This window comes from Homo sapiens, chromosome 10, assembly GCF_000001405.40.
Source record: "Homo sapiens chromosome 10, GRCh38.p14 Primary Assembly".
Taxonomy (NCBI): domain Eukaryota; kingdom Metazoa; phylum Chordata; class Mammalia; order Primates; family Hominidae; genus Homo; species Homo sapiens.
This window is the reverse complement of record NC_000010.11, coordinates 69,234,606-69,259,053: the sequence shown is the minus strand read 5'-3', so window position 1 is coordinate 69,259,053 and position 24,448 is coordinate 69,234,606. Positions and strand designations below refer to the sequence as shown.

Here is a 24,448-nt window from a genome sequence, read left to right as displayed (position 1 = left end):
GCACACAAAGCTATGCTGTCTATGGTACCCCCTTAGGTCTGGTAGTGTTGTTCACTACACAACCCACATAAATGCACACATCCACCCTCTTCACCTCTGCTTGCCAGGATTCAAGGACCCCTCATCCACCTCCGTGTCGTATCGGGTCCAGATGTCATCTATGCAGCCATTGTCTCCAAATCCTCCCCACTCTGTATTGATGCACATCTTCCCTTCACCCCCCTCCACCATCTCGATGTTCCTCATGTCCTCCATGTAGCACATGTTGCTGCCTGTTCCTAGAAGGAATTGTGAAGGAACCTTAGTCTTCAAAGACATCACCAGGTTTTAGAAAGGTGGCAGAGTGCAGCAAATAAGAATTTAAGCTTGGAGTCAGATACAACTGGATGCGATTCCAGCTTTACAGTCATAGCTGGCTAACCTTGGGCAAGCATCTCATCTTTCAGAGGCTCAGTTTCTTCATTTCTGAGGAGGAAATAATACCTGCCTATGGGTTTGTTATGAAGTGATATCTTTAAGTTTCCTTCACATGGTAAGCATTCAATAAACGGTACCTGCTGACTTCATCATCATCATCATCATCATTATCTTTGTTAAGCCATAGGCACACAAAGCTTCCAAGCAGTCGTAAAATTAGCAGTCAGAGCTGGAAGGGACCATGAGGAATCATCTAGTCTTGGACAAGCAAATGCTTGGCATCTGTGAGCCACCCTCTTCTTCCTTGCCCATGACTTGGCCTCAGAACTATTCTCAGCCCAGCAGTCCAGGCAAGTATTTTAGTCAATCAACAGGCCTCACCTCTTTGCTCTCCTAGATCTAGCCCAATCCCTCCCACGGATGAAGAAACTCAAGTCAGACAGAATAAGCCACCTGCCCAAGCTCACAAAGTGGGTAAGAGTTAGAGTGAGAGGAAACCTCTTACCTGGCATGGGAGATAACTCAGTACATCCCCATCTCCTTGTTCCACCTGCTGCTTATATCCAGAAAGCCCAGATGATCAAATGGAACAACTTTTCTAGGTTCTATCATTACTTAGCCTGTGCCTATCACCTGGAATGCCTTTTGTCCCCATCTCCACCTGTTCCAATCCTACCCATTCTACCCCTCTTAGAGAGAACATCCCCCTAGAATCTACCCTTGGCCTTAATCACTGCCAGACTTCTCCCAAAGACCCCTAAAATGCCTGTATCAGGCCACTCCTTTCCCCTCTTCTAAGTTTCTTTCCAGCTCCTCTCCTTCCTGTGCACCCTGAGAACCAGAAGAATTCAGAGAACAGAAGAGGCACACATTGGAGCCAGAGTGAAAATCTATAATAGCTCCCTCAGCCCCAGGCCAAGATGATCCAACTGTAGTCTCCTTCCCCCCCCCATGACAATTGGCCCCAAGGTCCTTATTTAAAAATCTCTTCTTCCTGTGTCATTATCCTTCCTCAATAGAAAGGATGACCTTGGCTTAGGACTCTTAATGCAGAAAGAACTTGGTGACCTGGAATCCCAATTGTAACTTCATCTCTGCCTTGGGCAGAGCCTCTGTATAATGGAACAATGCCCACCCTCTCACTATGTTAAAAGGAAACCATCAATGGATACAGTGGGATTAGGCCAATGGGCCATGCCTGACCACCTACCTGCAATCAGGCCAATCTCACAATTAGGATCTTCATAGCCACAGGTCATCATGGTCCCCACTGTATCATTCACGACTGCAACAATGTCCAGGTCAAACTCCTAAAAACAAAAACAAAAACAAAAAAAACCCAGCTTTACTATGAGTTGAATGTGCAAGCCAAACAGGTTTAGGAGGGGCATGTTATCCCAAGGCAGACAGAGGCCAGAGTCATAGGAACTGGGCAGAGGATGGCAGAGCAGAGGGGCCTGGGGAAGGCAGCAAGAGCAGGCATGAGCCTCAACACCACATCCTACGTTTCTCCTCTTGATGGCTTCCCTGAGCATGTCCACCACGTCCTCCCCTTCACAGTCAGTGGCCTTGAAACCTTTGGTCCACCCTATGAGTGTTCCCTGAAAGAAAGGAGGGGAAATTCATTTGAGCAATAGTTTGCTAGGGCCACTGCACAACCTCAACATCCAACAGATGCAAAGCACTATAGCTGGCTGCTTGTCAAGTACGTGTGCTTTTGACTATGCCTCCACCTCCACAACCCTAACCCTGGGCACAGCAGCATCACAGAGCACAACACTCAGACAAGGTCTATCACTGAGTGGAATCATTGCAGCAATTCATACTCCTCAAGGGTCAAATCATGTTCCCTGGCCATGATTACGCGGAATAAAGGCCTAGGATCATAGTGATCCTACTTCTTCTTTTTTCTTTCTTTCTTTTTTTTTTTGAGATAGAATTTCACTCGTCTCCCAGGCTGGAGTGCAATGGCGTGATCTCGGCTCACTACAACCTCCACTTCCCGGGTTCAAGCAATTCTCCTGCCTCAGCCTCCCAAGTAGCTGGGATTACTGGCATGTGCCACCACGCCCAGCTAACTTTTGTATTTTTTAGTAGAGATGGGGTTTCACCATGTTGGCCAGGCTGGTCTCAAACCTCTGGCCTCAGGTGATCCGCCTGACTTGGCCTCCAAAAGTGCTGGAATTACAGGCATGAGTCACCACATCTGGCCATGATCCTACTTCTAACTTAGTCAAGGACAGATTACAATGTGATCAAAGGCAAAGCTACCAAATGTTTATCAAAGCATGTTTCACAGTGAAAAACTAGAGGTATCCTAAAACTCCAACAGTATGGATCTATCATCCTGTACCTCGATATGGGACATGATATACACCCATAAAGAATTACACTGTAAGAGAACATTTGATGTGAGAGAAAGGTGTTTTCCACACACTGTTAATTGAAAGCACGTCAAACAAATACAGATAGTGAATTATTCTATTTTTATTTTTAAAATTACACTCATACACACATATACACTCGCACTTGGAGAAAGGACTGGAATAATATATACACCAAAAGGGTTAACAGTGGCTCTCTCTGGGTGCAAAATTATGCATCACTTTTCCTCTCTCCTTTTTGTTTGTCTATATTTTCTAATTTTTCTGAAATTAAAATTAACATATATGATTTTTATAATACTGAGAAAGTAGGTTTTTTTTGTTTTTTTTTTTTTTGACACAGATTCTTACTCTGTTGCCTAGGCTGGAGTGTAATGGTGTGATCTCAACTCACCGCAACCTCTGCCTCCCAGGTTCAGGCGATTCTCGTGCCTCAGCCTCCTGAGTAGCTGGGACTACAGGCACACACCACCACGCCTGGCTAATTTTTGTATTTTTAGTAGAGACGAGGTTTCATCATGTTGGCCAGGCTGGTCTTGAACTCCTGACCTCAAGTGATCCACCCTCCTCGGCCTCCCAAATTGCTGAGATTACAGGGGTGAGCCGATGTGCCCAGCCCGAAAGTAGTATTTTTAATTCTCAAAAGGAAGCCCAAAGTTACATTGTTAGCCTGAGGCAGGAGTTAGTCTAGCCTCGCACTCCATCATCTAGAAAGCCAGGGGGGTGAAGGCAGGCAGAGCTAGGGTGTCTAGGCCAGGAGAAGCTCTGGGACAGGAAAGGCAGTGAGAAAATCTGATGGCAGTGCCGTCAGCCCCGTGGCTGGATGCCGCCTCACCCTGAGGCTGTTAGCCCACAAGCCCCAGTCTCCCTCCTTCCCTCCATAGTTCTTGGGAAACTGGACCCCTGGCTGGCTCCTTTCCTGGTTGGTATGTGTAGAACATTAGAGAGACACTCCCAACTGGGAAACCTCTCTTACTGATTGCAATTACACAAAACTAATCTATTTTTTGACGTCTCTCTTTTTTCTCCCCAACCATGGGTATCTTTACTTTTAGCTGCCCACGGGTCTCCCCTCCTTCTTCACTGTGTCTTCACGACACCTTCAGAGCTGCTGGGAGAGAGGCCCAAAGGCCCAGTGTCCTGAGTCAGGAGCAGTAGCTGTGTCCTGGTGCCCCGTCAGGACCGCAGACAGCTGCACACGGCACCCTCCCGGATGGTGTATTAATTTTTAATGGCAGCAGCAATGCAGGAATGCATTAGTAGTGTAAAAAATTAAAATGTTACTGATAAGGATAGAGTTCCCTTCAACTCCCATCCTCCCAATCTGAGAGGTAACCTCTGCCATTAGTCTGATATTAATCCTTCCAGACCTTTTCCTCTCCATTTATTAGTATTTTTTTCTTTTTCCCACCATTTCTTATTTCAGGGGTGAAATTACACATATTTTTAAGTAAGTAAATTCACGCTGTGTGTGAACTATTGCAATTTTTTTTTCTAATTCAATAATGTATCTTCCAGATCCTTCCAGGCCATTTATATGGATGTGCCACATTCCTTCACTGAGCAAAATATTCCTTGAATATAATTGCACGAAAATAAAACCACAAAACACACCTATAAAATGAGTTCTATTTTTGTAATCATTTTCAGATGAGGAAACCAAGGAACAGGGAGATTAAATGACTTGCCCAAGGTCACACAGCCAATAAGTAGAGAAGCCAAGGGTCTGGGGGAAGGAGGACTAGGGAATCAGCGCTCAATGAGTACAGAAATTCAGATGGAAAAGAAAAAGTTTAAGAGATGGATGGTGGTGATGGCTGCACAAAAATGTGGATGTATTTCATGTCATAGAAGTGTGCATTTAAAAAATAGTCACAGTGGGAAATTTATGTTATGTGTATTTTACCACAATAAGAAAATGGTTAAAAAAATTTTTTTTTTCTCTTTTTGAGACTGAGTCTTCTCTGTCGCCCAGGCTGGAGTGCAGTGGTGTAATCTCAGCTCACTGCAACCTCCACCTCCTGAGTTCTAGCGATTCTCCTGCCTCAGCCACCCAAATAGCTGAGATTGCAGGCACCCGCCACCATACCCAGCTAATTTTTGTATTTTTGGTAGAGATGGGGTTTCGCCATGTTGGCCAGGCTGGTCTCAAACTCCTGACCTCAAGTGATCTGCCTGCCTCAGCCTCCCAAAGTTCTGGGATGACAGGAGTGAGCCACTGCTCCTGGCCCTGGACAAAATCTTAGTGCATCTTTGGTGCTACCCTTATTATTGTCCTGAGCTCTCTGGTTGACCTGCTGAGCTGACCAGAGTTCTACCATAAATTTAGGAAGCTGTATTCTGCTTTATGCCAGTCTCGGAAGCTTGGCTGATGAGAGTCTGTCAGAAAGACAGAGCTCCTCTCCACAAGCTGGTGAGTCTGTCTGTGAAGCTGAGGCCAGGGATTGCAGAGAATTCACCGCTATGATGTCAGGCCCTGGCGACAGTGCACCCCTTCCTCACCACCATTACCAGCACTGGATTCCTCTTGGCCTTTTCCAGGCTGAATTTCAATCCTATGCTGCCTCGAAAGTGAAGGATGATACTAGGATTTGAGTGCCTGCCAGGTGCTAGACCCACGCTATGCATTTTACACACACGAGCTCATTTAGTCCTCACCATGTTCCTCCATTTTCACCAATGGGGAAACCATGCCTCAGAGAAGTTAAATAATCTGCTCAAGGTTATTCATATGGGAAACAGTAGAGACAGGTTTGCAAAACAGGAGCCCATAACCCCAGAGCCTGTGCTCTCGAACACTGTGTTTTCTGACCTTAGGAAGGACACTGGGCCTCTCTGTGTGGCCTCATCTGGGCCTGCTCCCAAGCCCCTGCAGAAGGACATGTCCCTGCCCGGAGGCTTTCTGTGTGGGCACTGGCAGAGGCTGCAAACTGTCTCCCTCCATCTGCAGAACAGACAGCTCTGCCCCAGCCTCATGCAAAGGCCCAGCCTCACTCACCCACTGTCAGCTCCAGGCCGAGGCCCCATGACCCACTGGAGCTCTGGGGAGTCTAAGAGCTTAGCCCAGTGTCTAGTCCCCACTTCTAAGCTCTACCTCTTGGTCAAGCTAGTTTACCAAAAAAACCATGCAAAAAACACACAATACTGACCTTCCTGTGTCTTAGCTTCCCAATTAAAAATCTTTATTCATTACACATAAAGTTAAGCCTGGGTGATTTTTTGTTTTTACACACAGAAACACACACACACACACACACACACACACACACACACACACACGTTTAGAGATGGGGTCTTGCTATATTGTCCAGGCTGGTCTCAAACTCCTGGACTCAAGTGATCCTCCCATCTTGGCCTCCCACGGTGCTAGGATTACAGACATGAGTCACTGTACTTGGCTTGCTTGTTGTGTGTGTTTTTGTTTTTGTTTTTGTTTTTAATAGAGATGGAGTCTCTGTTGCCCAAACTGGAGTGCAGTGGTGTGATCATAGCTCCCTGGAACCTCAATCTCCTGGGCTCAAGTGATCCTCCCACCTCATACTCTCCAGTAGCTGGGACCACAGGCATGTGCCACCATGCCTGGCTACAGTTTTTTTTTTTTTTTTTTTTGAGACAGAGTCTCGCTCTGTCACCAGGCTGGAGTGCAGTGGCACGATCTCAGCTCACTGCAAGCTCCGCCTCCTGGGTTCACGCCATTCTCCTGCCTCAGCCTCCCAAGTGCTGGGACTACAGGCACCTGCCACCACGCCGGGCTAATTTTTTTGTATTTTTAGTAGAGACGGGGTTTCACCATGTTAGCCAGGATGATCTCCATCTCCTGACCTCGTGATCCACCCGTCTTGGCCTCCCAAAGTGCTAGGATTATAGGCATGAGCCACCGCTCCCGGCCTGTTTGTTTGTTTTTTAAGACACAGGGTCTCACTATGTTGCCCAGGCTGGTCTTGAACTCCTGGCCTCAAGCAATCCTTCCATGTCGACCTCCCAAAGTGCTAGGATTACAGAGATGAGCCACCACACCTGGACAACCCTGGGTGTTTTTACCCTAGAATTACAGGAAAGATTTTGTAATAAATGTCTCCATATTTATGAATTATCTATTAAATGATAAACTATGATGTTCTTCAATGTCAGCTAAAGTGGCCATGTGATCAATTGCTTCTGAGATACTAATATTAGAAAAGAAATGCATTTCTTGCCAGGCACAGTGGCTCACGCCTGTAATCCCAGCACTATGAGAGGCTGAGGTAGGTGAATTACCTGAGGTCAGGAGTTCAAGACCAGCCTGGCCAACATGGTGAAACCCCATCTCTACTAAAAATACAAAAATTAGCCAGTTGTGGTGGCACACACCTGTAATCCAAGCTACTCGGGAGACTGAGGCAGGGGAATCACTTGAACCCGGGAGGCAGAGGTTGCAGTGAGCTGAGATCACATCAGTGTACTCCAGCCTGAGTAACAGAGTGAGACTCTGTCTCAAAAAAAAAAAAAAGAAAAGAAAACAATTCCATTTATAATAGCATCAAAAAGCACAAATTACTTAGGAATAAACAAGAGAAGTATAGACTTTTACTCTGAAAACTACAAAGGATTGTTGAAAGAAAATAAAGAAGACCTAAATTAATGGAAAGATATCCCATGTTCATGGATTGGAACTCGCTATTGTTAAGGTGGCAAACTCCCCAAATTAATATATAGGTTCAACTCAATTCCTATGAAAATCTCAGCTGGCTTCTTTGCAGAAATTGACAAGCTGCTTCTAAAATTCATATGAAAATGGAAGGAGTGCCGAATAGCCAAAACAATCTTGAATAAGAAGAAAGAGAACTCACATTTCCTGATTTCAAAACTTATAAAGTAGGCCGGGTGTGGTGGCTCACACCTGTAATCCTAGCACTTTGGGAGGCCGAGACAGGTAGATCACCTGAGGTCAGGAGTTCATGACCAGCCTTGCCAACATGGTGAAACCCCATCTCTACTAAAAATACAAAAAATTAGCCAGGCGTGGAGGTAGGTGCCTGTAATCACAGCTACTTGGGAGGCTGAGGCAGGAGAATTGCTTGAACCCAGGAGGCAGAGGTTGCAGTGAGCCGAGATCACGCCCTTGCACTCCAGCCTGGGTGACAAGAGCAAAACTCTGTCTCAAAAAAAAAAAAAAAAAAAAAAAAGAAATGTATTTCTTGTGATGTGCTGGCAAGATTTCTTTCATCAGACGATAAAAACCCATTGTAATTCCCTGTTTACATGGCTGTCCAGAAAGACACAGATCGTATTACTGCCCAATTGTTATAACTGGCCTTCACTGGACATTACCTCTTTCTCCCTCTCTCCATAATATGATTCGACCTCTCTTTTAGTAGGAATATTATGCACATGTCCCTTTATTGCATACTACTCTAAATTCTCTTGTGAATGGTCAGTCTAAAAAATCGTGATAAATTGATTAAAAATTAAATTGTTGAAATTCTCTATCATGTGTTCCCAGCTGCCCTGAACCCAAGATCCCTGTAAAAATGAAGGCAGGCTGGGAGTTACCTGGAGATGGTCCCAGAAGAGGAAGGAAGCCCACTGGGCTGGCCGTGAGCCTGGTGGGGCTATCTTACCTTGTCAATGCTCATCTGCCTGCAGGGAAATGAGAATGTGAAGCCCAAAGGTAGGGAGGCTCCCTTGAGGCCCATGTAGTCCAGGAAGTCGGCGATGCACTGCACAATGTGATCAAAGAGCTGCAGAGAGAGAGAGAGCGGCATTCACACCAGGCGGACATCGATGCAGGGTGGCAGGCTGGCACCTCGGAGCCCAAAGGCCTTGCCTGGCACTTACCTCCTCACCAGTGCCCTGCATGATCTCCAGGGGGATGGCGAAGATCTTGTTGTACATTCGCACTGACCTCCGTCCACTTCTGATCTTCACCAGGAGGACCCGGAAGTTGGTTCCCCCAAGATCCAGGGCGAGAAACTTTCCTTTCTCTGTGATGGAGAAAGCAGCAGCTGCATTCCATGACAGGGACTTGTGTCGGGGCATTGGGAGGAAGAGGAGACGTCGGAGCAGAGCGGACCCAGGGCCTGCACTCCTGGGCCTCATAGACCAGAGGGTCGTGGGGGCCACCCTGCACAGTGCCCGGGCCCCGGGCAGGCATCTTGAGCCTGCGTGAGGCCAGGCTGCTTTCCTTGGCCTCCACTTCTGTGGTAAAGTCCCAGGCACCACCTACACTATCGCCAGTGAGGTGCCGTGAAAAGAGCCCTGGCCTGGAGTCAAGGGACCTGGGGCTTCTGAGAAATGGCTTTTTATCTTGAGCAAGAGAGGCAAGGTCCCATCCTTCCACATCTGCAAAATCAGGAGACTGAACCTCTGAAGGCTCTTTCAGCTTCACTGACTGACAGCCTTCTCGGGAGCCCCAAGGAACGGTACAGGGCATCCAGTCAAGGAAATGCATGATTCTTATACTCAAGGGGCCTCCGGTCTGGCGCGGTGGCTCACGCCTGTAATCCCAGCACTTTGGGAGGCCGAGGCAGGTGGATCACGAAGTCAGGAGATCGACACCATCCTGGCTAACACAGTGAAACCCCATCTCTACTAAAAATACAAAAAATTAATTATCCGGGTGTGGTGCTGGGCGCCTGTAGTCCCAGCTACTCGGGAGGCTGAGGCAGGAGAATGGTGTGAACCTGGGAGGCGGAGCTTGCAGTGAGCGGAGATCACGCTACTGCACTCCAGCCTGGGTGACAGAGCGAGACTCCGTCTCAAAAAAAATAAAAATAAAAATAAAATAAACAGTGTCTTTTACTGCTCTCAGTTAAGAGATCCCAAGTACAGCTGTTGGACCTTGAGTAGGTCATCTAGCCTCTGTAAGTCTCAGGTATGGCATCCATAAAATGGGAACCATTTCCTCTTTGGTAACGTTCCAAGTGGTTGTGAGGATGAAATGAAATGAAAGGTTCAAAAGCAAATTATAAGATGTAAAGCATTTTACTAAGGTCATTATTTCCGGAAGAGTCTCGTGAGATTCAAAGAGGTAAAATAATTTGTCTGAAGAACTGATTTCACTACTTAGTGGCTTCTTTTGGCTGAGCACCGAGGACCAGAAGGATCAAGGGTTGGAGAAGTTGGGGGCAGAAGCAATGAGAGGGAAAGGGAAGTGAGCCAAGCTGCAGAAGAGAACAGAGCCAGAGAAGCAGCAGGAAGACAAGCCCAGGCAATCTCAGGCATCTAAAACAAAGTTCCTGGGGTCAGGATCTGGGGGTCGGGGGGGGTACACTCATGTTCTCATCTACACACACATAAGTGCACACACATAACCTAATGTAGGCTTTTTGTGTTTTTGTTTGTTTATTTGTTTTGTTTTTACTGCAAATGCCTTGGGTTAACAAAGGCCAACAGATTTAGAAAGAATACTAGCCTTCTTCTTACTCTTGCCCTCCATTAGAGACGTGAACCCAAGTTTCTAAAAACCAAGAACCTCACTGGCTTTAAGGAGTTTTGACGGGAGCCCTGGATGGCTGTTCAGAGAGGGAGGCTGTGCTGGCCCACCTGTGCCGTCCGGCAGCCCGCAGACGTAGGTGGGCAGCATCCTGACCGTGGCCAGCCCGTGGCTCTTCTTCTTCAGCCCATACTCCAGCTCAGCCCGCATCTTGGCCTGCACGTCCACGAGCTGCTCTCGGGTCAGCTGGAACAAAGCCAGCACCCTGTCGATCTGCTTCCGCTGGGCCTGCACGCGGGAGGCCACCGCGGTCACCATGGCGGCCCCCTTGGTGCTGCCACTCTCTGACAGGAGGAAGCGGACATCACAGCTTGGGACCAGTTTCCTCACCACCTTGTGCAGGCGTTTTGGGTACCTGAAGCAGGGGTGATGGCAAAATATTTAGCAATCATAAAGGCCAGGCTCAGGCACAGACCCAGGGGCAGCAGTAAACCCAGTCCCGGAGGGCCCTGCGGGGCGGGGCTCAGCCCTTTATTTGCTGATGGTAGGGAGGGGAGGGGATGAGAGGAGGGAGGGACTAAGAAGCTGGGGCAGTGGAAGGCACTTGGGAGGCTCGGGGAAGTGCTTATTCTGTCAACGAACATTTCAACCAGTCTGTGCATAATGTATTGGCTGAACATCATTTCTGTCCAAAGAGAAGGATTTTCTTTCTCAGCTCTTTCCAGGGTGTAACCACTTGACTTCCAAGTCCACCCCGGTAGCCAAAGGGGCTTTCACTCTCCTTCCTTCTGGAAAATTCCCATTTCCCTGTGTTTTCCTACCAGGACCCTTCCCATAATCTTGGCAACCTGTGCCATCTCTATTTTTCCCCATCTATGACTAGGTGTATCTTACTTCCCAGCCTTAACCACATAGTAGGTGTTCAGTAAATAATGGCTAGATGGAAGAATGAATGGAGAGATGAATGGGCGGGTGATGGATGGGTGGACATAGATACATGGATGGACAGCATTCCTAATTAGGCAATTGGCTTTAGCAGAATATTTCTTTAAGAGTAATCCCCAAAAGCAACCCAGCCAGCTAGATGAATGCAGGCCCTGGATTCACCTTTTCCCTTGTAATCTCAGAACCAACAAGAGGGGTTGTTGGTTCCAGACCCCAGATAGGCAGGATAGTCCAGAAGACACTGGGGCCCTGCTCCAGGGAGACTCATTTGTGGGGGCGTGGATGGCAGGCAGCACTCACTGAGGGTGTATCTTGTAGAGGGTGCCGTCCATGCCCACTGTGGTCCGGAGCCGTTCCACCTTCTTGTTCTCCCGGAGGCGTGTCAGGATGGCCGCCAGAGCTGCTGCACAGAGATTGGCCGAGCGGAAGGAGACGATGGTACAGACATGCTGGACGGCAATGCAGTCAGCCTCAGACGGTTCCAGACCCAGGTCCACCAGGATCTCTCTTGTATTAGCAAGGCCTTCTTTATACCTGGCCAGGGGACAGGAATGAGTGAACGACACTTCTCCATCCCACTGGTATCCTCCTGGGGGAACAAGCTTCTCCACCTCTCAGGATTGTGAAAATTAATAGGCAGGTCCATGGTATAGAATAAAAATAACAATATCAACATTGATAGTAGCAGCTGCCACTAACTGAGCAGTCACCATGAGCCAGGTACTTGTCTAAGGATTTTACACATAGTAACTCCTTCAACGCCCACAAAAATCCTGCGGGAGGCACCGTCATTACCCTGTCGTACAGATGAGAGATGTGAGTGCAGAAAGGTTGAGTAACTTGTCCTTGGCTACACAGCTAGTAAGGGCTAGAGCCGAGATTTGAACTTAGCAGTTAGATTCTAGCACCCACACTTTTAATCACCCTGTGCTATGCTGACTTTCACGGAAATTCTGTCCCTGCCAAGTTCTGCATAGACATAGATGCTGCAGGTCAGCGCCACGTGGCTGAGCTCAGAATCTAAACTGATCACAAAGTCAAGGCGATGCCAAGATTTCTAAGCCTGAGGAGCAGGACCCTCAGATGTGCTGGACGGCAATGCAGTCACACCGGGGCCAGCCGCCGTCACCTGCAGCCTTCACCAGCCAGCTCCATGCGAGGGACCTGTGTGTAAGGCCTCACATCACCACATTCAAAGCCAGTTCCTGATGGGAGCAGGTGGAGAAGGCTCTGCTATCACAGGAGTTCTGGACTTGGATTCCACAATGAGCTTAGTGTCCAAGGATGCCCTGATATTGTAAGCAAACTTGTGTGTGAATGTACATTTTCGGGGCTAAGGGTCTAGAACCTGAATAAAGTTCTCAAAAGGATCTGTGATCCTAAAAATGCTACAAGTTACCACTTTAACAAGAAGGCAACAGAACATGGGAAGAGGGTGGCCCTCTGACAGCAGAGTCCCTCACTGATGAAACCAACAAGAACCTCTCATCTGAGTCATGGCAGAAATTGCTAACCCATCTGAAGCCATGCCCAGGTCTGAAATCTTCCTGGTGAAGGAGGAGGATCTAGTCCCTCCTGCTGTCCTACCACATGGAGCACCCCACACCTGGGCCTCCCATCCCAGCCCTCCACAGAGCCAAGGCAGAGGGACTTGCTTACTTCTCCATGGCAGCCACGTGCCGTGTTTCGATCTTGCCCTTAGTGTGGAGAGCAGAAGATTTCTCACCACCAAACAGGAGGCCAGCCTTGGCCATCTTCAGCAAGATAAGCCTGACAAGCTCCCCCAGGTACAGGCCACTGATCATCTTCTCGAACCTGCAGGTTGGTGAACAGATCTGTGGACGCAGCCCCTTTGATTAAGCTGCATCATTTCCCGAAGACCAGGAGCCACTGCCCACAGGAAGGAGCACATGGGAGAGGGCTGAGCTAAGATTCCCTCCTTCTCGCAAAGTGCTGGATGGCAAGAACTTTTGTCTCAAATCACCCTGGCCATGGGTACCATTCTCACATCGAGCATAGGGACTCTCAATTTCACAGACTTTGGGTATTTTCCCAAAATCACTCAAACATGATGCGACAAGTCAAATTTCACACTCAGATGCTTCCCACTCCTACATCAAGCTTCTGTCCAAGAGAGAAAGATGCTGTGCTTGTGAGATGGGCTTGGACAGCCCCAGACAGGCTCTACAACAATGTGGATTTAACATTGCCATGGCTACCTACAGCTTTACTCCAAGTCTGCACACCAACAATTCCTAATTGTTTCCCAGGCAGACTATTGAACATTATTATTATTATTATTATTATTATTATTATTATTATTGGAGACAGGATCTCGTTCTGTCACCCAGGCTAAAGTGCAGTGGTGCAATCATAGCTCACTGCAGCCTCGAACTCCTGGCCTCAAGTGATCCTCCTGCCTCAGCCTCCCATAGGGGTGCATCATCACACCTGGCTAATTTTTTTATTTTCGTAGAGACAGGATCTAATTATGTTGCCTAGGCTTATCATAAACTCCTGGCCTCCAGTGTTTCTCCTGCCCTGGCCTCCCGAAGCACTGGAATTACAGATAAGAGCCACCGCATCAGGCCTAAATATAATGCTTATTTTCCAAACACAATAAGACACAAAATCAAGAACAATCTATGTCACAATCTACTTTATATAGTTCACTATAAAAAGTCTTAGAACAGGCCAGGTACAGTGACTCATGCCTGTAATCCCAGCACTTTGGGAGGCCAAGGCGGGTGGATCACAAGGTCAAGAGTTTGAGACCAGCCTGGCCAATATGGTGAAACCCTGTCTCTACTAAAAATACAAAAAAATTAGCCGGGCATGGTGGCGCATGCCTGTAATCCCAGCTACTCAGGAGGCTGAGGCAGGGGAATTGCTTGAACCCAGAAGGCAGAGGTTGCAGTGAGCCAAGATTGCACCACTGCACTCCAGCCTTGGCGACAGAGTGAGACTCCATCTCAAAAAAAAAAGTCTTTGAGCATTGAAGAAACAGAAGACAATCAAAAGAAATTTAGGGTGGATGTCAGGGAATATAATATATATATATATTTTTTGAGACAGGGTCTTGCTCTGTTGCCCAGGCTGGAGTGCAATGGTATGATCACAGCTTACTGCACCCTGGACCTCCCTGGCTCAAGTGATCCTCCCACCTCAGTCTCCTGAGTGGTTGGAACTACAGGCATCTGCCATCACACCTGACTAATTTTTTTTTTTTAATTTTTATTTTTATAGAGACTGGTCTCACTATGTTGCCCAAGCTGGTCTCAAATTCCAGGACTAAAGCAGTCCTCCCACCTCAGCCTCCCAAAGTGCTGGGATTACACGCATGAGCCACCAGGCCTGGAAGGAATAGAATTTATTTTAAGTAAAATGGAAATGGGTGAAGATGATAAAATTCAAAAAATGGACACCACGTCCTTGGGACATGACTGCAATGGGTCACTAGAGCACAGGCATGTGCCTGGAGTAGGTGCCACCAAAGTGGAATGTGCTTCCCGGGTGCACAGTTCTAGTGTTTGAATCGCTCCTAGAAGGTGCTTGAAATTCACCAGCATGTCTTGACAAAATGGCTGATTCCAGGGCTGGGGCTAGGAAAGTGCGACATGAGCCGGGAACGTCTTACGGTGCCAGGAAATAAGGAAGTACTTAAAGAGTGATGGAACATGTCAAAAGGACACAGGAGGCAGCTTCAGAGGCTTCCTTTGGCCAAATCTGAAACAATTTGAGCATCAAAATAAAAATTGTGGACAGCAAACACAGAGGGAAGGTCCTGCCAGAGTCACCACTTGCTGAGTGATTAGGCCTCCGAGAAAGCAAGGCGGCTGGGGGACATGCGAACACGACGAGTTCGGCTGTGCCTGCCTTCTCCTCACTGCCCAGGTGTGTTCTGCGGCCAAGCGTCCGAGTGCTCTTATCTTCAGTGCCTATCATGCACATACGTAACCCACAAATACTGACTGAATTAGAATTAGGGTTATTAGGGTTATGACTTAGGGAAATCTTTCAATGTCCTTGGCTTCTATTTCCTCATTTGTCAGATGAAACTGAAATACAAGCAATGCCTTATAAATTTGTTGTAATGGGGCCATGCATGGTGGCTCATGCCTGTAATCCCAGCACTTTGGGAGGCTGAGGCGGGAGGATTGCCTGAGCTCAGGAGTGCAAAACCAGCCTAGCCAACATGGCAAAACCCTGACTCTACAAAAAATACAAAAATTAGCCAGGAATGGTGGCCCATGCCCGTAGTCCCAACTCCTCTGGAGACTGAGGTGGGAGGATTGCTTGAGCCTGGAAGGTGGAGGTTGCAGCGAGCCAAGATCGTGCCACCGCACTTCAGCCTGGGCTAGAGAGTGAGACTCCATCTCAAAAAAAAAAAAAAAGGAAAAAGAAAAAAAGAAAGAAAGTTGTGATGGATAGCTAGTCACAACTGGAAAGCCTCCCAGGTAGCCAGGGGACCTGAGTGATTAGGCACTGCCTGGTGCCGATGCCCAGATAACACCAGAAGGGAACTCACAGTTGCTTTCCTGGGTTGAGAGAGCCGAGGTCCAGCTCCCTGTCGAACTCAGTGCGAATGTCCTCCAGGGCCCCGTCGTCCCCGAAGGCCCCCCACTCTGTGTTGATGCACATCCTGCCCTCGTCGCCCTCCACCAGGTCAATGTTGCTCATGTCCTCCATGTAACACGCATTGGTGCCAGTTCCTGAACCAGGGATCAGAGAGAATATGCAGAGAGAGGACTCCCAGCTGGGCACAGACAGAGAACTCTTGACTGCTGGGGAGTCCTCCTCAATGTACCACAAAGTGCTTTTCATTCCCTGGGGGCTGGCTCTCGCTGAGGGAAGCAGCTTGGGCAAGCCCCAAGCACATGGGGAAAACAGCTGACATGTCAAGTCTGCACTTCTCAGGGTGCTCAGGGTTTGCTGTTCTGAATGGAGTCAATTGTGAAGAAGTCCGCTGATGAATATGGATGAAAGCTGACGAAGCGCTCTTACAAGAGGACAAATGAAGATAATCTTGTAAATATTTTTTTCAAAAAATCACCAACCCAGGGTAATTTTGAAAATTCTTTCCTTAAGCTACTTAGCTTCCTCTCTATTTGATACTAAAAATATTCTTTACTTATGGCCTGCCACAAATTGTTTCTAGCATAAGCTGCATCCTTATCTTAGACTGTGATTAGCTACCACCTAAGAAAGCAACATTCCGTTATGCAAACACAAAATCGCTCCAAGGAAATGCCTCAAACACTTGAGCACTGGGGAATGACTGCAAGTGGGCACCATCTTTTTGGACTCTTTTGGGAGGACAGAAATGTTCTAAAATCGGATTGTGGTGATGGTTACAAAACTATACGTTTACTACAAATCATTGAATCGTATACCTAAAATCGGAGGACTTTTATGCCTCAATAAAGCTGTTTGAATTTTCGGGTTTTTTTTTTTTTTTTTTTTTCTTCAGTATCTTCCCTTGGCTGATACTCTGGTATGAGTATTTTAAATGCCAACATGGAAAATGAGAAATGTAGAAAAGCAGAATGTAATATTTGGAAAAAGCTTTTCTCAGAAATGCACGGACACTGTTTAGGCGTGGCCCCCCCAATCTGTGGTTACCAGACGCAGCCACAGTGACAGGCGGGTGCCATGACTGGCAAGGGCCTGAACCATTCTGAGGCTCCTGGAAACAGAAGGGTGGAGGGAGCCCCTCAGGTTTAAAAACCTGCCCTTTGGGAAAGCCAGGCTGAGGAGGGTCTTGAGGGACATTAAGAAAAAGCAATTCAGAAGAACTTTCCCCAGGAGTGGTAAAGGAATGGGAAAAGGAGAAGGGGATATTCAAGAACAACCTATAAGTCAGAGCCATTCAGCTTTACTGTACCCCAAACTGCCTTCCCACACATTCCTCCAGCTGACCCCCTCGCTCTGGTGTGGAGACCACCCACTGGAAACCCCCACTGCACCACGACCTCTCTGGTCCACAGCTGCAGTGCACCTTGCCTGACAGTCCAGTGGTCTCTTGGATGGTCACCCTGCTTCCACTCTTGTCCCCAGTAATCTATTATCCACACAGCAGCCAAAATGGGCTTTTAAAAAATGCACATCCGGCCGGGCGTGGTGGCTCATGGCTGTAATCCCAGCACTTTGGGAGACCAAGGCGGGTGAATCACTTGAGGTCAGGAGCTTGAGAGCAGCCTGGCAAACACTGTGAAACCCCATCTGTACTAAAAATACAAAAAATTGGCCAGCCGTGGTGGTGGGCACCTGTAATCCCAGCTACTCAGGAGGCTGAGGCAGGAGAATTGCTTGAGCCTGGGAGGCAGAGGTTGCAGTAAGCCAAGACTGTGCCACTGCACTCCAGCCTGGACGACAGAGCAAGACTCCGTCTCAAATAAAAAAATAAAATAAAATGCGCATCCATTTATCCATCCCCCACCCAGAGTCCCCCAGTGCCTTCCAGTCTCCCTCAGGGGATAAGCCGGTGACCTTACAGTGACTGTGTGCACATCCTGTGCAATCTGCCCAGTCTGTCCTCTGCCTCTCACTTGAATGGCCTCCGACTCTCAGCCTTCACTCACCTCATCCGGACACCACTCGGCTATAGGGTTCCCCCAGTGCCCCCTCCCTGGACCCCTTCCCATCTCCAAGCCTGTAGGTGTCCTCTTTCCTTTGGCAGGGACTCCCTACCCTCGGGCCTCCACCTTGCTCCCTGGTTTGCATCACTGAGGTCCCGGCTCAAATGCCACCCCTCAGAGAGGCTTCCCTGACGCCTCATCCCACTCACAGTCACATCACTCTCTTTGTTTTTTGTTTTTTGTTTTTTTATCACGCTAACCACCACCTGAAATTATCTTAATAGCCTAGGCCTTCTGGGCCTCTCACCCACCTCCCCACTGAAAGTTCCAGGAGCACAGGAACTCCCCACTCCAAACCCAGTGCCAAGCCCAGGGGCCGGCACACAATGGGTGCTCAGTAAACACTTGTCGAATGGATGAATGAATGAATTTTTCATGTCCCTATGTTGCTTCTCCTAAATAGTGCAGTGCCCTTCCCGCCGAATTCACTCAGAGCTCGCTGAAATGAAACTCCCAAACAGTCCCTTCTCCCCTACCCTCAAAAAACCAGTCCAATTGAGTTACCGATGATGACACCAACTTCGCAGTAGGGGTCGTCATAGGCACAGGTCATCATGGTCCCCACGGTGTCATTGACCAGGGCCAGGATGTCCACGTCCATGTCCTGCCGAACACAAGGCCAGAGGGAATCAGCGGGTGGGAAGGAGGTGTTTCCCTCCCTCCTTCCCCACAGAGGCAGCAGGTAGTGAAGGTGGCTGCTGAGACATCCCTAGATCCTGCCTGCTGGGCCTGTCTGAAGGAGCAAGGCCTCATCAAGGTTCAGGGTCTAGGGGAGAGAAAGAGCCGACAGGAGCTGAAGAGGGGAGCCCATCCTCTTGCTTTGTGGGTGAAGGCCTCTGCAATGGAAATATGAGGGACAGGCCACCGGGACTCCAGCCCTTGTTTTTTGTTGTCGATGTTTTTTTTAATTTAAAAAATTTTATTTTTTAATCTGCAGATAGGGTCTCACTATGTTGCCCAGGCTAGAGTGTGATGGCTGTTCACAGGTACAAACATAGCACACCACAGCCTCAAACTCCTGGGCTCACGTGATCCTCCTGCCTCAGCCTCCTGAGTAGCTGAGACTACAGGCACACATCACACCCAGGTTTCAGCCTTTGTTTGTGAGATCCTGGGAAGACATTGAGGAAAGCATGTTTATCCAGTGGCATTTCCAGGAGAAAACACCAAAGTCCTCACCCACGGGGACAACTCAGCCAGCAGGCACAGACTCGGCCAAGTCTTCCCCATGTATGGCATGGTGACTTCCTGTCTGGATTTCCTGTTCTGCCAAGTCAGCTTGGGTTATTGCACCAACATCCCCCAAAGTTTGGAAGAACATTTTAAAGTAAAATGAGAGCCAGGCATGTGGCTTATGCCTATAGTCCCAGCTATGCAGGAGGCTGAGGTGGGAGGATCATTTGAGCCTAGGAATTCGAGGATGGAGTGCCAGGCACTGCCAGCCTGGGCAACACAGCAGGACCTCATCTCTAAAAAAAAAAAAAAAAAAGTAAAATGAAAACAATAAGGGAAAATGCAGGCTATAAAACAATAAGATCCCAGCTTTAAAGAAAAAAAGGCTGGAAGGCTATGCAGCAAACATGCCTCTTGCTGTCAGGGCAACAAGCAATTTGGGTTTGTGTACTTTCCAGCTCAGCAAGGAGCGAGTCTTGCTTTCGCAGTAGTTTAAATTATTGTAAAATACGTTCAACAAATAGGGATATTTAATGGACAGGGAGTGGACAGTGAAATAGAGAACCAGCCCAGAAAGAATATGGAACCAGCCCGGAAAGTATATGATCTTTTCAGCCTCAGAGAGGAGGGCGTGTGGGGCCTACACACAGCATCAGATCTAACCAAGACCTCCGGAGAGGGCTGTGGCTGCTGGGGAGGCCCAGGGATGAGCTGGCCACCTTTCAATAGGGATTGGTGCAAGCCCCGCCTACCAAGGCTCTGTGGGTTCATCCAAGTTGGCCACATCTGTACTACAGTGGGACCTTTTCTAAGATCAATTCCTTCTCTGATTCTCCCTCCATGCAGGCACCATATGTGACCCCCTCACCTCACCCCCAGCCCCACCAACCCAAGAGAAAGGAGCTAGGGCTGGGAGAGCCTCCCACACCGAGGTGAATTCCTCACCTTGTGTCTTCTCATGGCTTTGGTCAGACGGCTCACCACATCCGTGTCCTGAACTCCTCGTGCCTTAAACTTTTTTGTCCACGAAAGTAGGACACCCTGGGAGAAGATTTCAGGTCCAGTTTGAATGAAAGACGTGCTGAGATGTGCAACTGAGCCGCAGAAACTTCATGCCTACGTGCATCCCCCATGGCCTTCTCTTCTCTAAGCTGAATCACCCCAATTTTTTTAAAACATTGCTTCTGCAGCCTTTTCTAATAATTTAAAGGACTATTACTCTCATCTGAGTGGTTTGAAATATATGGTAGCAGAAGGAGTAATTATTGAAAAGTTAGAGCTCTTGGATTCATGAGACATTAGACAAGTCGTTTAACCTCTCTGAGCCTCAGTCTACTCCTCTGCAAAGTGGAAATGTCACCTCCCTACCTCTCTCAAAGGAATGCTCTAATGAAAATACCTGGTGTAGGCCGGGCGCGGTGGCTCACGCCTGTAATCCCAGCACTTTGGGAGGCCGAGGCGGGTGGATCATGAGGTCAGGAGATCGAGACCATCCTGGCTAACAAGGTGAAACCCCGTCTCTACTAAAAATACAAAAAATTAGCCGGGCGCGGTGGCGGGCGCCTGTAGTCCCAGCTACTCGGGAGGCTGAGGCAGGAGAATGGCGTGAACCCGGGAAGCGGAGCTTGCAGTGAGCCGAGATTGCGCCACTGCAGTCCGCAGTCCGGCCTGGGCGACAGAGCGAGACTCCGTCTCAAAAAAAAAAAAAAAAAAAGAAAATACCTGGTGTATTATACATGCAGAATGCATGGTTTGCCAGGTCCACAAAACAGAACTAACATGGTGTAACCTTGCAGGATTGTCTCAGGAACTTCATTTCAACTTAGAAAAATGATTCCCAACCAGGCAGAGTGGCCCGTACCTGTAGTCCCAGCTACTTGGGAGCCTGAGGCAGGTGGATCACTTGAGGCCAGGAGTTCCAGGCCTGCCTGGGCAACATAGCGAGACCTCGTCTCTTAATAAAGAGAAAGAAAGAAAAATGGTTCTCAATTTGCATTACCAATCATTGCTTACAAATGGTGTTTCCTGAGTTTCGTGTCTGAAATCGCAAATAATCATAGAATGTTTCAGACTGGAAGAGAACTTGGAAGTTAAAAGAGAATCGCCCAAGTCGTCTCAGTCAAGAGCAGCTGACCCAGGCTCACAAACTTCCTGACCGCACCTCCTCCATTTCCCTCAATTTATGGATTTAAAAACGCTGGGATTGAGAGAGGGAGGAAATTGCTCTGAATTTCACCGCGAGTGAAGGATAGAGCCCAAGCCGAATGCAGGTCTCTGACTCTGGACCAGCCCTCGGGCTTTTTTCCTGCACCACAGCGCCGCCGTGTGGCAGCTCTCCCTAACTTCTGCTCTCATAGGCTATGACAACATCCCTGTCTCCAGGGACAGAGCGGGGAGAGATGCACAGGCTGGCTTTCTTCAAAAATCCCTGTTGCAGGGAAGGTGGATGGGGGAAGTGAGGGATAAATGCTTGCGATAGAATGTTAAATTAAAAAGGCAATTACATACAACTGTACATTTTCTTTTTGTCTCAAATATTTGGTGACTAGAATCAACCATAGATTTGCTAAACTGTAGATACAGGATAACACTTGTATTTAATATAGGTATGAGTAAAAGAAAAACCCACAATTCTAGTGGTGGGAATATTTGAATATTGAGATGAGTGGTGATTTCTATTTTCTTCTTTAAACTTTTCCATTCCTTCTCTCTCTCTTTTTTTAAACCTTGAAAAAAGTATTACCATTTATTTTATTATCAGAAAACACACACACACACACACACACACACACACACACACACACAAAGAAATTTCTCTTTGGTTAAGACTTTCTGTTCCCTCAAAAACAAGAATAAAAAACCAAGTGACTTCCTTTAATTCTTATGCTCATGATGTTGGCTATGGGTTAAACATAATAAGAATTCTCACGCTCCTACCTTCTTTAATCATTTTCAGTTTCTCAAAGAAGCCCCCTAATCACACCTCCTCACACAGCCTTCCCCTTTCCATCCCTCTGCAGTCATGGAGCTGAACAGAGCCCATCTTCCCCAGGAGCCCTTATTCTAGTGTTACCGAACCCACTCCTGCAGCAGAGCCCTGCTTAAATAGCTTTGCCAGATGAGGCCACATTCAAATATTATCAGGAATGAGTTTTCTTGTGGTTGGAACTTTACTACTTAACTTTAGATTTTATTGAAAGGCAGTTTGCGAGGAAATTTTATAAAATATAAGTATATTTGACTAGACTGCGATGAGAAAAAAAGCATTTTTCCCTTCCTTGATACAATTTTTTTTTTTTTTTGAAACGAAGTTTCACTCTTGTTGCCCAGGCTGGAGTGCAGTGGCGCCATCTCAGCTCACTGCAACCTCCGCCTCCCAGGTTCAAGCAATTCTCCTGCCTCAGCCTCCCGAGTAGCTGGGATTACAGGCATGTGCCACCACGCCCGACTAATTTTGTGCTTTTAGTAGAGACGGGGTTTCTCCATGTTGGTCAGGCTGGTCTCGAACTCCCGACCTCAGGTGATCCACCCTCCTCGGCCTCCCAAAGTGCTGGGATTACAGGCATGAGCCACTGTGCCCGGCCTCTCCTTGATATAATTAAATGCCCTTCCTTAGTTTAAATTTTACCTGAAAAATCTTTATTGTAATATGACACTAAGTGGGTCAAAATGGGCCGGGCACAGTGGCTCACCACGCCTGCAATCCCAGCACTTTGGGAGGCTGAGGCGGGAGGATCTCCTGAAGTTGGGCATTCAAGACCAGCCTGGCCAACATGGTGAAACTCCGTCTCTACTGAAAATACAAAAATTAGTTGGGTGTGGTGGCAGGCACCTGTAATACCACCATTCGGGAGGCTGAGACAGGAGAATTGCCTGAACCTGGGAGACGGAGATTGTGGTGAGCCGAGATCACACCACTGCACTCCAGCCTGGGCGACAGAGCTCAAAAAAAAAAAAAAAAATCAAAATGCTTTCAGGCACCTGCTGCCATTTTAAATGAAGTTCTAAAGTGGTGTCTTTCTGGAAAGGCACTGTAGTTGGGGAGCTTATGAACTTGGGGTGGGCTACTCTTGGTTGTGTGGCTTTGTGCAAGTCTCTTAACCTCGCTGAGCTGCAGTGTTTCTCAAATATAGAATGAAGATAATCATATCTACCTCTTAGAATTGTTTGGGGGATTTAACAAGATAATGCGCATAAAGCATTTGGCACAGCGCGAGGTACAGTGTCAAAACCGGAGGCACGTGCTTTTATCATTATTATTGAGAAAGATGTTGGTGGGTATTCAACATAGATAAATGACAAAATCCTGGATGGATAAACCATCCGTTCACACCCTCCGCTGCCAAGCTATCAAGAAAGCATGTGCATTTAATTCTTAAAGTTGAATGAATTCTCACAGAGCTTGAGAATTTTCTTCCTTCTTCCTGGAGTCTCTGTTCCAGAGCTCTCTAATAAGAGCAGCTGGCACACTCTCACTCCACCACCTGCACTACAGGATCCAGCCAGGGCCCTGATTCCCAACCCCCTGACATACACATCTACTCACTCCTAGGACCTTTCTCTGCCAGCCAGCTCCACTTGGTCTCACCCAAACATTCCCTGGAAACTTTTTTGTTTGTTTTTTGTTTGCTTGTTGTTGTTTTTTGTTTGTTTGTTTGTTTCTGACAGAGTCTCGCGCTGTCACCCAGGCTGGAATGCAGTGGCGTGATCTCAGCTCACCACAACCTCCACCTTGTGGGTTCAAGTGATTCTCCTGCCTCAGCCTCCCGAGTAGCTGGGATTACAGGCGCCCGCCACCAGGCCCAGCTAATTTTTGTATTTTTAATAGAGATGGGGTTTCACCATGTTGGCCAGGCTGGTCTTGAACTCCTGATGTCAGGTGATCTGCCCCCCTCGGCCTCCCAAAGTGCTGGGATTACAGGCATGAACCACCGCATCTGGCTGCTTGTTTTAGAGATGGAGTCTCGCTTTGTGGCCTGCGCTGCTGGAGTGCAGTGGTGTGATCACAGCCCACTGCAGCCTGGACTCCCTGGCTCAAGCAATCCTCCCGCCTCAGCCTCCCAGGGTGCTGGGATTATAGGCAAAAGCCACCACGCCAGGCCCCTGGAACCTTCTTTATATTATTTTTCTCAGTCCTTTCTTTATAAAAGAATGAAAAAGTAAAACTCAGCCTGTCCCCTGTATAGATGATGGCAAATTCCCACGATGGAATCAAATAAATGATTGACACCTTTCAACTGTGAGATAGTTATCAAGCACCTATTAAATACAACACATTGTCAGAGACCTTGGCGGGGAAGGTCTGTGCCCTTGGCGGGCACTGCTTGCCCTCCAAAAACCTCTGTTGAATTTAGGGATAAGATACAAAAGCACAAAGAGACAAGTAATCCAGGGACAGTCACCACAGCCTAGCAGCTACTGTGTAAGGCCCAACCACAGTGTTGGATGCTTTACAAATGCTTTGCCTAAGCTTCACC

At 47.8% G+C, this 24,448-nt stretch overlaps 1 protein-coding gene across 4 annotated transcripts in view, besides 2 other annotated features; it reads right to left on the bottom strand.

Annotated features, from left to right (window-relative positions):
• Positions 1 to 24,448, bottom strand: part of HKDC1 (hexokinase domain containing 1) — a 47,221-nt gene that overhangs the window by 8,499 nt on the left and 14,274 nt on the right. For 3 of the 4 annotated variants that reach the window (XR_007061989.1, NM_025130.4, XM_011540195.3), the window contains exons 5-15: positions 19,917 to 20,012; positions 18,303 to 18,402; positions 15,689 to 15,872; positions 12,820 to 12,975; positions 11,461 to 11,694; positions 10,326 to 10,630; positions 8,619 to 8,764; positions 8,402 to 8,521; positions 1,923 to 2,018; positions 1,628 to 1,727; positions 95 to 278 (exon numbers count right to left, since the gene is read on the bottom strand). Coding sequence is in view for 3 of the 4 variants with exons in the window: in NM_025130.4 (NP_079406.4) it covers positions 95 to 278; positions 1,628 to 1,727; positions 1,923 to 2,018; positions 8,402 to 8,521; positions 8,619 to 8,764; positions 10,326 to 10,630; positions 11,461 to 11,694; positions 12,820 to 12,975; positions 15,689 to 15,872; positions 18,303 to 18,402; positions 19,917 to 20,012 (1,721 nt within the window). In the remaining variant the exon portion in view is untranslated. Of the gene's footprint in view, positions 1 to 94; positions 279 to 1,627; positions 1,728 to 1,922; positions 2,019 to 8,401; positions 8,522 to 8,618; positions 8,765 to 10,325; positions 10,631 to 11,460; positions 11,695 to 12,819; positions 12,976 to 15,688; positions 15,873 to 18,302; positions 18,403 to 19,916; positions 20,371 to 20,693; positions 22,245 to 24,448 lie in introns of those variants that run through there. The other variant, XM_047425784.1, reaches the window with a different exon arrangement.
• Positions 2,312 to 2,504: a silencer, noted in NCBI's record as "fragment chr10:71016306-71016498 (GRCh37/hg19 assembly coordinates)". NCBI's record gives its function as "represses an EF-1alpha promoter that drives an FKBP-Casp9 reporter gene in an ReSE screen in K562 erythroleukemia cells {active_cell/tissue: K562}" and the evidence as "EXISTENCE:reporter gene assay evidence [ECO:0000049][PMID:32094911]".
• Positions 10,444 to 10,982: an enhancer, noted in NCBI's record as "H3K4me1 hESC enhancer chr10:71007828-71008366 (GRCh37/hg19 assembly coordinates)". NCBI's record gives its function as "activates a minimal SCP1, AML or CMV promoter by ChIP-STARR-seq in naive H9 embryonic stem cells {active_cell/tissue: H9 hESC(naive)}" and the evidence as "EXISTENCE:reporter gene assay evidence [ECO:0000049][PMID:30033119]".